Here is a 12,841-nt window from a genome sequence, read left to right on the forward strand (position 1 = left end):
ATATTCCTTCTAAGGTGACAAGGGAAGCTGTTTGTGGGAATGTATTTCCCAGGAGGCACTGAGCCTTTGCACCCAGTGCCCAAGAGAGACTGTAGGAGGCAGCTGCTGGGTGCCAGGCACCCCTGGCTGCCTTGCCCTGCAGGAGCCTGGGAGTATGGGGGAGCTGTCTGCCCTGCAGGAACCTGTCTAGAACAGGAAGCAAAACACTTGTGCAGTATCTCACCAGTGGCCTTTACTGACAAAGCTTAATATCATAACATTTAGCAAAGCGAAAATACTTTAGTGGCTCAGAACCATTTTCACAGAGCAAGCAAAAAGGGTGAATTTGGAGCTGAGCGTGAGTAAGTGGCTAACTCTGCTAGTAGGAGAAACACTTTTCCAAATATTTATGTGAAATATATATGGTAAGACTTATGAAATGAGAGAATGTAAAGATACAAAGTACCTGAGAGCTTACCCCTGGTCAGTTACAGAGAGCCTGAACTGCCTTGTTTTTGTCTTTTAGTACATTTGTTTTTCTTGTAGTGAACTTGGAATGTAAAGCTTGAATTGACAGACCCTACAAGAAGCAACATTATGAAATTTGGGTTTATGGTTATAAAAACATTGTTAAAAACATTATTCATCATGCTACATAGAGTTTTCCAATGAGTACTCTGTGAAGAATTCTGTCTGGTTGCAGTTCTGATGAGCAATAGATCTTGTTTCTCTTAAGACATGAAACACAGCAGAGCAGTAGCTATCCTGAAGTTGGGGTCATTAAACACTAGTCAACACTGGATATTGATTTGTGCAACTGATGAGATTAGGAGGCAGTTTAAATAAGAAATTAATCAAAGGCGGAGATTAAAAAAACAACAGGAAACATGCATGAGACTAATACAAACATTGATAATGTAAATGTACTTCCTAGGGTAGAATATAAATTTTTCCCTAAAGTTTCTTTCCAGCAGCTTTATGAATTAATTGGTATTTGATTGATTGATTGACAACTCCAGTTATTAACTAAATTGAATCAGCTGGGAAACATTGCCTGGATTACTTCCTCAGAATTATTTCTGCACAGGGACTATATGATTGAATGTAATCAAATAGACTCAAGAAAGAATTAAATTCTTTAAAGTCACTTAGGCTTTTAATTTTTTCCCTCCTTTTTTGTTTTTGTCTAATAATTGAATACTCATTTAAAAAATGTGTTATTGATATATCTAAGGAATTAAATGTCATTGAACTAATGTTACCTGTAACGAGGAAGAAATTGTTATTGAAAGAAGGGAAATAAAAAGAGAATAAGTTCTGCAAGACTACTTTTGTGCCTATGTTTATTTGATGAATTCTGGTAAGGGAGACATATGTGTCTTGCAATCATTGTATACACATTGAGCTTATATGCATATTGCTTTAAAATGCTCTGTATTCAATATTTCTACGTCTCCACTTTCTGTTTAAGATCCATCTAGTTTCTCCTGGACAGGAACTATGTATTCTCTGCTTAAAACAGAAACATCTTGCAAAACTGGCTTGAGTTGGTGATGCTAAGTATGCAAATAGCAGGGAGCGCTGTCTAACTAATAAGAAAGTTTAGTTTGCCAGAATTCTATTCATATCAAAGAATCTCAGAAATAGTTAGAAAGTCTGTTTTGGTAGCTACTTACTACCTTCATGATCATCAATAGTTTATGGTTCTATGGTTGCTACTTTTCCCAGTAGCATTTGTGCTTCCTATTTGATTTTTTGAAGATTTTTGTCAGGTATTAAATAGATTGATTTCTTTTTAAAAAACAGCATAACCCAATAAATCTTTTTCTAGATGCTACTTAGTGGCCCATTCCCACTTCCCGTTTTGCATGTGGTCTTGATAAGGTTGCCCCATTCAACTAATTTGTGCTTAGTAGGAAGGACACTTGAGAGCAGTTGGGACCAGTGTCTGTAATAAATAAATATGAATTCATAATTAGGCAGAGTGAGAATGCCCAGAATGGTTTATCATCACAACCATTCCCAAAGCAGGGTTGAGGTCTTATGGGGAGGCCTTACTCTGCTGTTTGTGATCATCCCCAGCTGGCACACAAGCCCGCTGAGTCTGCAATGATGTCTTCTCAAAGTATATTCAAATATTTGCATTTAAATCAAGAGAGTAATAAAAATGTCAGTTTTAAAAGAGATTATGATTTAAATGGTCTGTTAGAAAAACTACAGCAACATTGCTTCTCTCAAAGAAGAAGGCTGAAAGGATAATTAGACATCAGCAGAATACCAACACATTACTGGGAAAAAGAAAGGGCACAGGAACTTCTAAAATTCACAGAAATAAAAATCAGCACAGGGACCTAGACCTTCATTAGAACCGAGTGATGAGATGAGCTACTAATGTTGATGAACAGCAGTATAAATGTTGTAAGGTTTCAGAATATTCCTTGGGATTACTCAGGGAGTGAAAAATTGACACATTTTACATTCTCTTTTGGATTTAAAATAGCCAATAAAATTAGTTTTCCTAACATATACTTAAATCAATATGCACGCTGCAAGAAGCCAAGTTCGAGGGCACAATTTAGCAGATATCATGTGTTAGTTGTTGCTACTGTTAACAGCCTTCTCTTTTTTTCCTGGGGTCAGAGCCAATTAAGAGACGTATAGAAGACTGAGAGTTAGAGATCAAAATACCGGCTTTATGGCTTATCAAAGCCAGATAGGAGAATAGGGTTTTATGTGTGGGCCAAAGGGGATACTAATTTCTCCCCTATGAACTGAAGTCAATTCCGTACACTGCGCGGGACTGCACCTAGGGCAGTGAGGGTGGGGTGCTGCCCCCTAGCGGAGGGCTCCGGTGCACACAGGCGACAACAGCCACAGACCCACCGCCCTCCTGCTCTATCTCCTTTGGTAATTCATGAGACAGTTTCCTGGGAAGTCCCATGTTTAATTTTCATCTTAATTGACTTTGAAACAGTATTCTCTGTGTAGCCATGAGAAAATGAGAATTTGTTTCTTATAGATCTCCACTGAACTACTTTATCATTTCTGATTGAGTCAATTCCTTATTTTCCTCTCGTAAATAACACCCACTCGCCTCCAGGTTAAAGTTTTCCTTACTTGACAAAATCAGATACTAAACAAAATATGATTAAAATAAGTCGAAACTCTTGCTCATCCTTACCAGAGTTGCACAAATTCTATCTTGAATATAACAGGCACAGTCTCGGGATTTTCTTACTCTGATTCAAATACAAAGTGAGCAGCTGGTTTATGGCCCAGCAGGAGCCAAGGGCGACCCACCTACCTCCTAATCTAGAGCTCTTCCCACTTCGCAGCACTTGCCACATAAGTAAGATGGAGGTCTCACAGAGCAGTTGCGAGTGCACTGTGGAGGCAGGTGGCTTTGAGTTTGGATTTCAGCTGTGCTCTGACTAGCCCTGTGACTTTGAGAGAGGTTATGACCTTCCTGGGTCTCCAGTGTTTCATGGGCAAAATGCAGACCACAACGTTTCTGTTGCAATATTGCTGTATTTAAATGAGATTATGTGTTTGAAATGCATCTTACTGTGCCTGTGGTAGCTTAGCACTAATAAGTGCTGGCATGACCCATTGTTAAGCTGCACTTACCCATAGTATGAATAAAAAATAGTTTAATTTTACACAAGTTGTAAATGAAAAGGGAATGAGTATGTAAATAAACCATTTGAAAAGATACATCAGTTACATGGCTTCTTCCTAGAAACCAGTCGTCGGCAGAAGCGATCTATCGACACCTTCTTTCTTTTCTCATTTCTGGTTTGGTTTCTGGCTGCTCTTCCTCATTTTTTCCTTTTGTGGCTGCCTTGTGTCTCTGTGAGACCACTGGGGCTTTGTTCCTCCAATCTTGTCTCCCTCTGTCCAACCACAGCTACCTTTCTTCGTCCTCACAGCCTGATGTCATGATAAGGGGAGTAACTTCCCCCTTCCACATATAACAGAAAGTAACACTTCAGCAACCCCCAACTCTGGAGTTAATAACTCAGTTTTCTTTTGGTTCTGGAACAGTTCAAAGCTCTCTCTCTCTTTTTTCTTCTTTTAAAAATGTATTTGACAAACACTATGTAGTACTTGCTATGTGCCAGACACTGTTCTAAGCACTTTACAAGTATTAAGTCATTTTATCTTCCTATATCTAATCCAATTTTATATAAAACAGAAACCAAAGCAGAGAAGGGCTTAGTAACTTACCTGAAGTTACCCAGCTGGTACTTAGTGGAAGCAGGATTTCAGGCTGAGGAGTCTGGCCCCGGTCTCTGTGCTTTTAGCAGCTCAGCCCAGCTGCTTCTCGGCCACCCTTGCGACATCATCTTCCATCTCACACTGCCAAGGGCAGGAATGCCAGACTTATTAGAAAAGCCTTGAAAAACTTAAGAATGTAAGTATTAAAAAGTTCAGCATCTCAAATATTTATCATTGCTTTGTAGTGAGAACACTTAAAATCTTTTCTTTTAGATGTTTTGAAATACATAGTACATTAACTATAGTCACCATGTTTTGCAATAAACCACCAGAACTGATTCCTCCCATGTAACTGAAACTTTGCACTCTTTGGCAAACATCTCCCCTTTCCCCGACTTCCCCACCATAAACACATACAACTTTTATTTGCCAATTAAAAATAAAATAAAAACAAAAAGAGGTGCAACGAACAGTTGTGCTTTCATCATCCAAAACACTAAGGGTAATGCTGGTCCAAGAGAATGACAGATTTTTGAGGATGGTTTTGTTGTTTTTATTTTGTTGGTAGCACAGAGGAGTTGGGAGAGTTCTGAACACAGAAAATGAAAGAGGAACTGGAGCAGGGGACAGGAAATTTACAAATGTCAGAGCTGAAGTAGTAGAGCAAAAGAGGGACTATTGGTTGGGCTTACGGGATCATTGTGGAGTTTACCATTGTCATCCTGAGCAAAGCACAGGGCTGAGAACAAGGAGGGAGAGGGAGGAAAGAGCCTCGGATAAGGCAGTGCTGGGGCCAGAGGGAAGGCTGCTGTCATCTCTCAACTGGGATTAGCTACCCCATGCCTCCCGGGCTTTTTGCCTTTCTGAATTTGGGGGTGGCTATGCCTCAGAGATGTGCTCTTGGAGGAAACTGAAGCACACTGAAAGTGAAATGTCACCTCAGTTATGAATGATCCTGATGAAGACGGTAACCAGGAAGTGTCTGAAGCCTGAAGCCACCACTCTATAAACACCAAATGTATTGCTGAGCTCGAGAATAAAAATGATATGTGTTAACTGTAGGCAAGGGACACATAAGCAAGGCAAAGTATTACCAAGAGGCACAATTTTTTTTTAATTGTTATATATTTTTGTTTAAAAATTTTAAGAATACAATACATTGTTGTTAGTTATATTACCATGTTGTATAATAGCTCTCTTGAATTTACTACTCCTGTCTAACAGATATTTTATATTCTTTGACCAACATCCTCCTAACTCTCCCATCCCTGTCCCTGGTAAGCACCATTCTATTCTCTACTTCTTGGAGTTAGACTTTCTTAGATTCCACACATAAGTGAGGTCATGCAGTATTTGTGTTTCTGTCCTGGCTGATTTCAGTTGGCATAATGTCCTCCAGGCTCATCCATGTTGTCACAAGTGACAGGATTTCCCTCTTTTTAAGGTTAAATAATAATCCATTGTGTATATATGCCACATTTTCTCTATTCATTCATCTGTTGAGAGATACTTAGGTTGATTTCACATTTTAGCTATTGTGAATAATACTGCATTGAACATAGGAGTGCGGGTGTCTCTTTGATACACTGATTTTAATTTTTTTGGATAGATACCCAGTAAAGGGATTGCTGGATCACATGGTAGTTCTATTTCTATTTTTTTCAGTAACTTCTGTATAGTTTTCCATGCTGGCTGTATGAATTTACATTCCTACCAACTGTATACAATGGTTCCCTTTCCACTACATCCTCACCAACACTTGTTATCATTCATCTTTTTGATACAACCATTCTAACAGGTGTGAGAGGGTATCTCATTGTGGTTTTAATGTACATTTCTCTGATGATTAGTGATGTTAAGCATTTCTCATGTACTCATTGATCATTTGTATCTCTTATGTTAAGAAATGTCTTTTCTCATCCTTTGCCCACTTAAAAATCAGGTTGTTTTCTTGCTATTGAGTTGTTTGTGTTTCTTACGTATTTTCAATGTTAACCCTTTATCTGATACATGGTTTTCAAATATTTTCTCCCATTCTATAGGTTGTTTCTTAATTATGTTGATTGTTTCCTTTACTTTGCTGAATCTTTTTAGTTTGATGTGATCCTGTTTGTCTAGTTTTGCTTTTTTATTGCCTGTGCTTTCTTGGTCATTCCCAAAAATCATTGCCCAGACCAGTATCATAGAGCTTTGCCCTTCTGATTTCTTCTAGGTAGTTTTACAGATTCTGGTCTTAGGTTTAAGTCTTTAATCCATTTTGATTTGAGGTTTGTGTATGATGGAAGATAAGGATCCAGTTTTATTCTTTTGCATGTGGGTATCCAGCTTTCCCATTGTCATTTGTTGAAGAGGCTCTCCTTTCCCCATTTAGTATTCTTGGGCTCTTCATAGGAACAAAGTGACACAATTCTTAGAAGTAGTGTTAGTACAATAAAACCCAAACTGGGCAGTAATATGGGTCTCTGGCACCTCTAGTTATTGTCTGTGGGACCCTGAGCAGTTTCAATAAGCTCTCTGTGCATTCATTCCCTGAACAGAAAAATGCAGAAAACACCTAAATGGTTAGCAATCATTACCAACAGGTTAGAGATGGCATTTGTTGAGTGTCTTGTTCAACACCTGGCAGATAGTAAGTGCTTAAATATTTTCTGAATGAATAGTGGGAATTCAAAACTACTAGTTTTCCACTGGAACAAAAAAAACTTAAAAGACTCCAGAGGCCCTGTTTATATTAAAAGCTTGTGAAAGCACAGGAGAGTAGTGCGTGGAATATGAGACCACACAGTTGCACCACCCAGAATTCAGGGTCATTACAGATTTGTCAGAGGTGTTTCATTTTCTGAATAAAAGAAAACAAATAAATTATTGTTCTTTTCAATATTATATTTGTATCAAGAAAATGTACAAGAAATGTAGAGTTTCATTCTCTGGGCAGGCCGTATCAGCTGAGGCATCAGAAAGAGACAACACAGCCCTCATTTGCTTCCATTGCTTTGTGGCAAGTCTAAGGATATTTCAGAGTGAAACAAATATGGACACAAAGGATCTGAGCTCCTTTTCCAGAAGCATTTTTTCTGAGGACAGACCCAAACAGAGATGGCTCAGTGATATAGTTTTGATCTGTGTCCCCTCTAAATCTCATGTTGAAATGTAATCTCCAATGCTGGAGGTGGGGCGTGGTGGGAGCCGTTGGGATCATGGGGGCAGATCTCTCATGGCTTGGTGCTGTCTTCCTGAGAGTGAGTTTTTGTGAGATCTGGTTGTTTAAAAGTGTGTGGCACCTGCCCCCTCACTCTCTCTCTTGCTCCTGCTCTGGCCATGTGATGTGCCTGCTCCCTCTTGGCCTTCTGCTGTGATTATACTTCCCAAGGCCTCCCCAGGAGCTGAGCAGATGCCAGCATCGTGCTTCCTGTACAGCCTGCAGAACCATGAGCCAATTAAACCCCTTTTCTTTATAAATTAACCAGTCTCAGGTATTTCTTTATAGCAATGCAAGAACGACTTAATACACCCAAGTGAACCACAGTCTATGTGATATTTGAGGACTGTGGAGAATGTGGCTGCTCCAGGAAAGCACAGAGGGACAGCTATGCTCCTCTCTAAGGAGAACCCCCTGTAACTGATGGCACAGAGCTCAGTGAAGGCAGCGCCATGGGCAGTTAACAAATGAACGATTAGCAGGAACCTAGAAGAGGAAAAACTGATTGCTGGGAGTCAGCACCAGTTGTCTCAGAAAAAAAATCTTTCCAGGCTGGGCGCGGTGGCTCATGCCTGTAATCCCAGCACTATGGGAGGCTGCGACAGGTGGATCACCTTAGGTCAGGAGTTCGAGACCAGCCTGGCCAACATGATGAAACCCCATCTCTATTAAAAATACGAAAATTAGCCGGGCGTGTTGGTGCATGCCTATAATCCCAGCTACTCGGGAGGCTGAGGCAAGAGAATCACTTGAACCCACGAGGTGGAGGTTGCAGTGAGTGGAGATCGTGCCACTGCACTTCAGCCTGGGCGACAAGAGCAAAACTCCATCTCAAAAAAAAAAATCTTTCCAGAATAAACATATGTGTATGTGTGTATATGTATATATATGATTGTGGTTTGGTACAGCAGGGAAATAGTATAGCTGTGTTTAAGTAAGAACTTGGTAAATCCTTTTTGATGATATGGTTAGGTAGACTCATAAATAGGTTGTTGAAAAATTCTTGTGTAGAATCTGAATAATGGTGATGATCTCATAGAAAACAGGTGCTCCTGGTATCCTCAGTGCTAGTGAACTGGTTAAATTTAATGATGAATTTGCTTCTGCAGAGACAACTTAAAGGTTATTCATGGTCTTGCAACATTAACATTTAGACACTTCTCTACAATTTCATGTTTCTTCTTGGAGGACTTGTTGATTTAATTTAAAAAATGTCATTTACTAATGGTAAAGGTCATTACATGAAAGGAAAATGATAAATCTCTAATATTCACTAATGAAGGATTTATGGTAAATATCACACACTTAGAATTATCTTCAAAGTAAGAATAACGCTTGTTTGGCCTTTTATTAAAGCTCCAACTATCAAGGCTAATATTTTATCAATCTTTTGTATTTTGATTTCCATTCTACTTCACTGCATGTCCATGTTCAGTGTATTAACTTGCTAAAAATGGAATTATAGGTGTCTTTAGGGATAAATATATAATTTTTGGCAGATTGAAGACATTTGCTAATAGTGAAGTCTTCCTCATTTAGCAGTGAAGTCTTCCTTTGTTTGAACAGTGTGAGGCCTCAGGGGTTGAACTGTAATTGATTCAGGCTAATCATATTAACCCCATTTGTTTTGCCAGTGATTTTTTTCCAGGTTTGTGCATGTGACCCAGTTCTGGCCAATGAGTCCAAATGGGAACTCTATTGGGGATTCTGGGAAAGATTTTTCTCCTTGACAGAAGAGAGAGTGGGGCAAAGAGAAAGCTCTTTTTGCCTTCTTTCCTCCCTCCCTTTGGACAACTGCTATGTGAGCATATGATGACTATAAAGAAACAAGCCCTGCTGGGTGCAGTGGCACACGCCTGTAATCCCAGCACTTTGGGAGGTTGAGGTGGGCGGATCACAGGTCAGGATGTTGAGACCATCCTGGCCAACATGGTGAAACACCGTCTCTACTAAAAATACAAAAATTAGCTGGGCGAGGTGACGCACGCCTGTAGTCCCAGCTACTTGGGAGGCTGAGGCAAGGGAATTGCTTGAACCTGGCAGGCGGAGATTGCAGTGAGCCAAGATTGCACCACTGCACTCCAGCCTGGGTGACAGAGTGAGACTCCGTCAAAAAAGAAAAAAAAATAAAAGCCCAAGGACAAAAGCCCACACGCTATGGATCATGAGGAAGGGTGAAAGTGTGGAGTCCTTGGTGGCATTGTTGGTGTGCCTGCCCAACCCTAGCACTGCCTGCCTCTGAATCCATATTAAGTAAATGGTGTGTTAAGCCCTGTTGTGTGCCATTATTTGCCGAGGAACAGATCCTAACTGATGCACAGGTGCTATAGTTTTAATGTCCCCTCCAAAACTCATGTTGAAATGTAATTGCCATTGTAACAGTGTTGAAAGGTGGGACCTTTAAGAAGTGATTAGGTCATGAGGGACTCTGTTTTTGTGAATGGATTAATGCCATTATTGTGAGGCTGGGTTCCTGATAAAAATGGATGAAGTTCCAGCCCCCAACCTCTCTCTGACTCATGCACTCTCGCTTCGGGCTCTCTCACCATGTGATGCCTTCTGTCATGGTATGATGCAGCTAGAAGGCCCTCACCAGATGCAGCCCCTTAATCCTGGACTTCCTGGCCTCCAGAACTGTGAGCCAAGTAAATATCTTTTCTTTATAAATTACCCAGTCTGAGGTATTTTGTTATAGCAGCAGAAAATAGACTAAAACGACAGGTATCCCTAACTTTTGGTAGGCCCCAGAACAATTTCTTGTAGTTGCTGTGGTATAAGTTCATGTTAAAAACCTGCAAGTTCTGAGACAGTGCATCAGTTCTCCCAGAAGTCAATGCAGCTTGCAGGTGTTGCATGGAGAAAGGAAAAGCACAGCTTGGCCATTGAGAGATTGTTTTGTTTGTTTGCTTATTGTGTTTGCTTGCACATGTTATGAAAATTAAATTAATTTGAAAATCCCTTTTTGAATGGATGATTTAGAGATAATATTTCAACATAAAAAAGATATATGTGTACTGAAAGAGTAAAATGAAAAATAAATGAGATCTGACATCCTCTGTTAGTGCATTTTTTACATTTATTCTCCATTCCATTTGATGTATTAAGGCTTTTTGGCTGTGAGCTTAATGATAAGCTCACAATCTTCCCCAGGAAAAAGCAATTTGAAAGTGGTTGTGGCTGAAGGCACATTATGATGGCAGAAAATCAAATAGAACACTGACTTCCATTTAAGATTGTCAGCTTGATGAATAGAGTGATGTTGACTTAAAGCAGACAGGACCTGACAGAGACGGTCTATTCCCAACAGGTGGAAGGCATGTGGAATGATTAAATAAAACATATTTGGTCACTCTATCCTAGAAACTATGTATTTCACAACTTTTGAACATACAGAATTAAAACAAACTAATACCTAGAAGCTTTCAAGCCAAATCCTCTTTAAATAATGTCCATTTTGATTAAGTTTGTAATCATGTACATATTTTCTCCTTTCTTCTTTGATGGAAATTTTGATTCTTTGCAAAATTTTTTACCTAATTTATTATTCAAAAATAATATGCTTTTTTGTTAACAATTTTATTTTCTAATTTGGGATGCAATCCTAATCTTGTGTGATTAACCTTGTACTTTGTGATTTTTCAGATATTATATTTGTGGATTTTCATAGTTCTTGACTTCTTATACAATCGGAGAATTAGTGGAGGCTGGTTATAAGTAGTAAGCATGACTCAAGTTTAAGGTATGAACCCTGCAGACTTACCAGTCAAACAAGATTGGAAAAATATAGGAGTCAAACATTTAAACTATTAATATTCACAGTTTCTAATGTATTTATTTAAACATTTCTTTCTCCCTCCTGCCCCTGCTTCTCTTACCTCTCTTCCTTTACGTAAAAAAAATTTTTATTGAATTCTTAGTGTGTGTCAAACTGGAGATGGAGGAATAAGAAACACTTGGCAACTTCAAAGCTCTCACTTTCTTCTGGAGGAAGAGACAGATAAGTGTAGGTATATGCAAAATGACACTCGCGATAGACTTAGTAAGCATGCTGGCAGAAGTTTGAAGAGCTTCACAAGATCATGGAGGAGGAACTTTGCTTAAGGAAGTCAGAAAACATAGATGAAAATGATGATTACATGGTTTCATTTATTTATACCAAAGAGTGTTACATACTTGGCATCTGTCTATTTAAACATTTGAGAGGAAGATAAAGATGAATGAAGACTAACTTCTGAAAGACTAAGTTCACCGGAGAAAACAATTAATGGGTTAAATATGTTTTATTTGTATTGAAGTATCTCTGTTTCAATGCAAGAAACAGAAGAAAGGGTGTGGGCAACGTGGGGATTCTGTAAGTTGGACATTTGAGGGCACAGAGGAACGGCTTATACAAAGGAACATACGTAAAGTGAGTAACACACACCTGGCATCATGGAAGAGGCCATGAAGAGGGATGAAATATGAGTAAAGACTACAGCTCGTGGTATGAAACCATTGTTTAAATACTGTTTTCAAAAATTTTTATGTTTCAAAGTTTTTATTATGGACAATCTCAAATAGGTGCAAAAGTAGAGAGAATAGTTTAAGGTCTAATAGTATTCGTATAATAATAGATAACTCTGCCCCCATCAAGTGCTCATCATCTGACTTCAACCAGTCTTATTTGATGCATACTCCCCTTCCTCCACCACAGGATTATTTTGAATTCCAGACATCATAGAATTAATTGCAGCTATAAATGTCTTTGTATTTATCTTTATAAGGTAATTCTTTTTTTCCTAAAACCATAAGATGCAAACATTATCTTATCTGAATTATTAATAATGAGTTCTAAATATTATCAGATTATCTAGTTAGTGTTCAAATTGTCACATGCATTTTTTTTTTCCAGTTGCTTAGTTTGAATCAGGATCTGATATGGTTTGGCTGTGTCTGCACCCAAATCTCATCTTGAATTGTAGCTTCCATAATTCCCACACGTCATGGGAGGGACCCTGTGGGAGGTAATTGAATCATGGGGGTGGGTCTTTCCCATGCTCTTCTCTTGATAGTGAATAAGTCTTATGAGACCTGATGGTTTTATAAAGGGGAGTTCCCCTGCACAAGCTCTCTTGCCTGCCACTTTATAAGATGTGCCTTTGGTCCTCCTTTGCCTTCCGCCACCATTGTGAGGCCTCCCCAGCCATGTGGAACTGTGAGTCCATTAAACCTCTTTTTCTTTATAAATTATTACCCAGTCTTGGGTATGTCTTTATTAGCAGTGTCAGAACAGACTAATACAGGATCCAAACAAGGTTCACTGATTATATCTGGTGAATATGTAGCTCTAATCTGTTTTCATCTACAGGTGTCCACATCCTGACATTTTTGGTTCCCAGCAATTCATTTATGAAAGAAAATAGGTTGTCATGTAGCATTCACTACATTCTAGACTTTGATGATTAG

At 39.0% G+C, this 12,841-nt stretch overlaps 2 long non-coding RNA genes across 2 annotated transcripts in view, besides 3 other annotated features; one reads left to right on the plus strand and one right to left on the minus strand.

The window, feature by feature from the left end:
- LINC00968 (long intergenic non-protein coding RNA 968) overlaps window positions 1–4,577 on the minus strand; it is a 41,506-nt gene extending 36,929 nt beyond the window's left edge. The window contains exon 1 of the long non-coding RNA NR_038236.1: window positions 4,207–4,577. This is a non-coding gene — a long non-coding RNA (long intergenic non-protein coding RNA 968). The remainder of the gene's footprint in view (window positions 1–4,206) is intronic.
- Window positions 3,740–3,879: an enhancer, noted in NCBI's record as "active region_27401". NCBI's record gives its function as "activates an Ori minimal core promoter by ATAC-STARR-seq in GM12878 lymphoblastoid cells {active_cell/tissue: GM12878}" and the evidence as "EXISTENCE:reporter gene assay evidence [ECO:0000049][PMID:35858748]".
- Window positions 5,165–5,214: an enhancer, noted in NCBI's record as "active region_27402". NCBI's record gives its function as "activates an Ori minimal core promoter by ATAC-STARR-seq in GM12878 lymphoblastoid cells {active_cell/tissue: GM12878}" and the evidence as "EXISTENCE:reporter gene assay evidence [ECO:0000049][PMID:35858748]".
- Window positions 9,244–9,419: a silencer, noted in NCBI's record as "fragment chr8:57477049-57477224 (GRCh37/hg19 assembly coordinates)". NCBI's record gives its function as "represses an EF-1alpha promoter that drives an FKBP-Casp9 reporter gene in an ReSE screen in HepG2 liver carcinoma cells {active_cell/tissue: HepG2}" and the evidence as "EXISTENCE:reporter gene assay evidence [ECO:0000049][PMID:32094911]".
- On the plus strand, window positions 10,001–11,458 carry LOC105375850 (uncharacterized). Its single transcript, XR_928912.3, has 3 exons — window positions 10,001–10,041; window positions 11,039–11,135; window positions 11,314–11,458. It is a non-coding gene; the product is annotated as an uncharacterized LOC105375850 (long non-coding RNA).
- The last annotated feature ends 1,383 nt before the right edge of the window (window positions 11,459–12,841 follow it).

Source organism: Homo sapiens, chromosome 8 (assembly GCF_000001405.40).
Source record: "Homo sapiens chromosome 8, GRCh38.p14 Primary Assembly".
Taxonomy (NCBI): domain Eukaryota; kingdom Metazoa; phylum Chordata; class Mammalia; order Primates; family Hominidae; genus Homo; species Homo sapiens.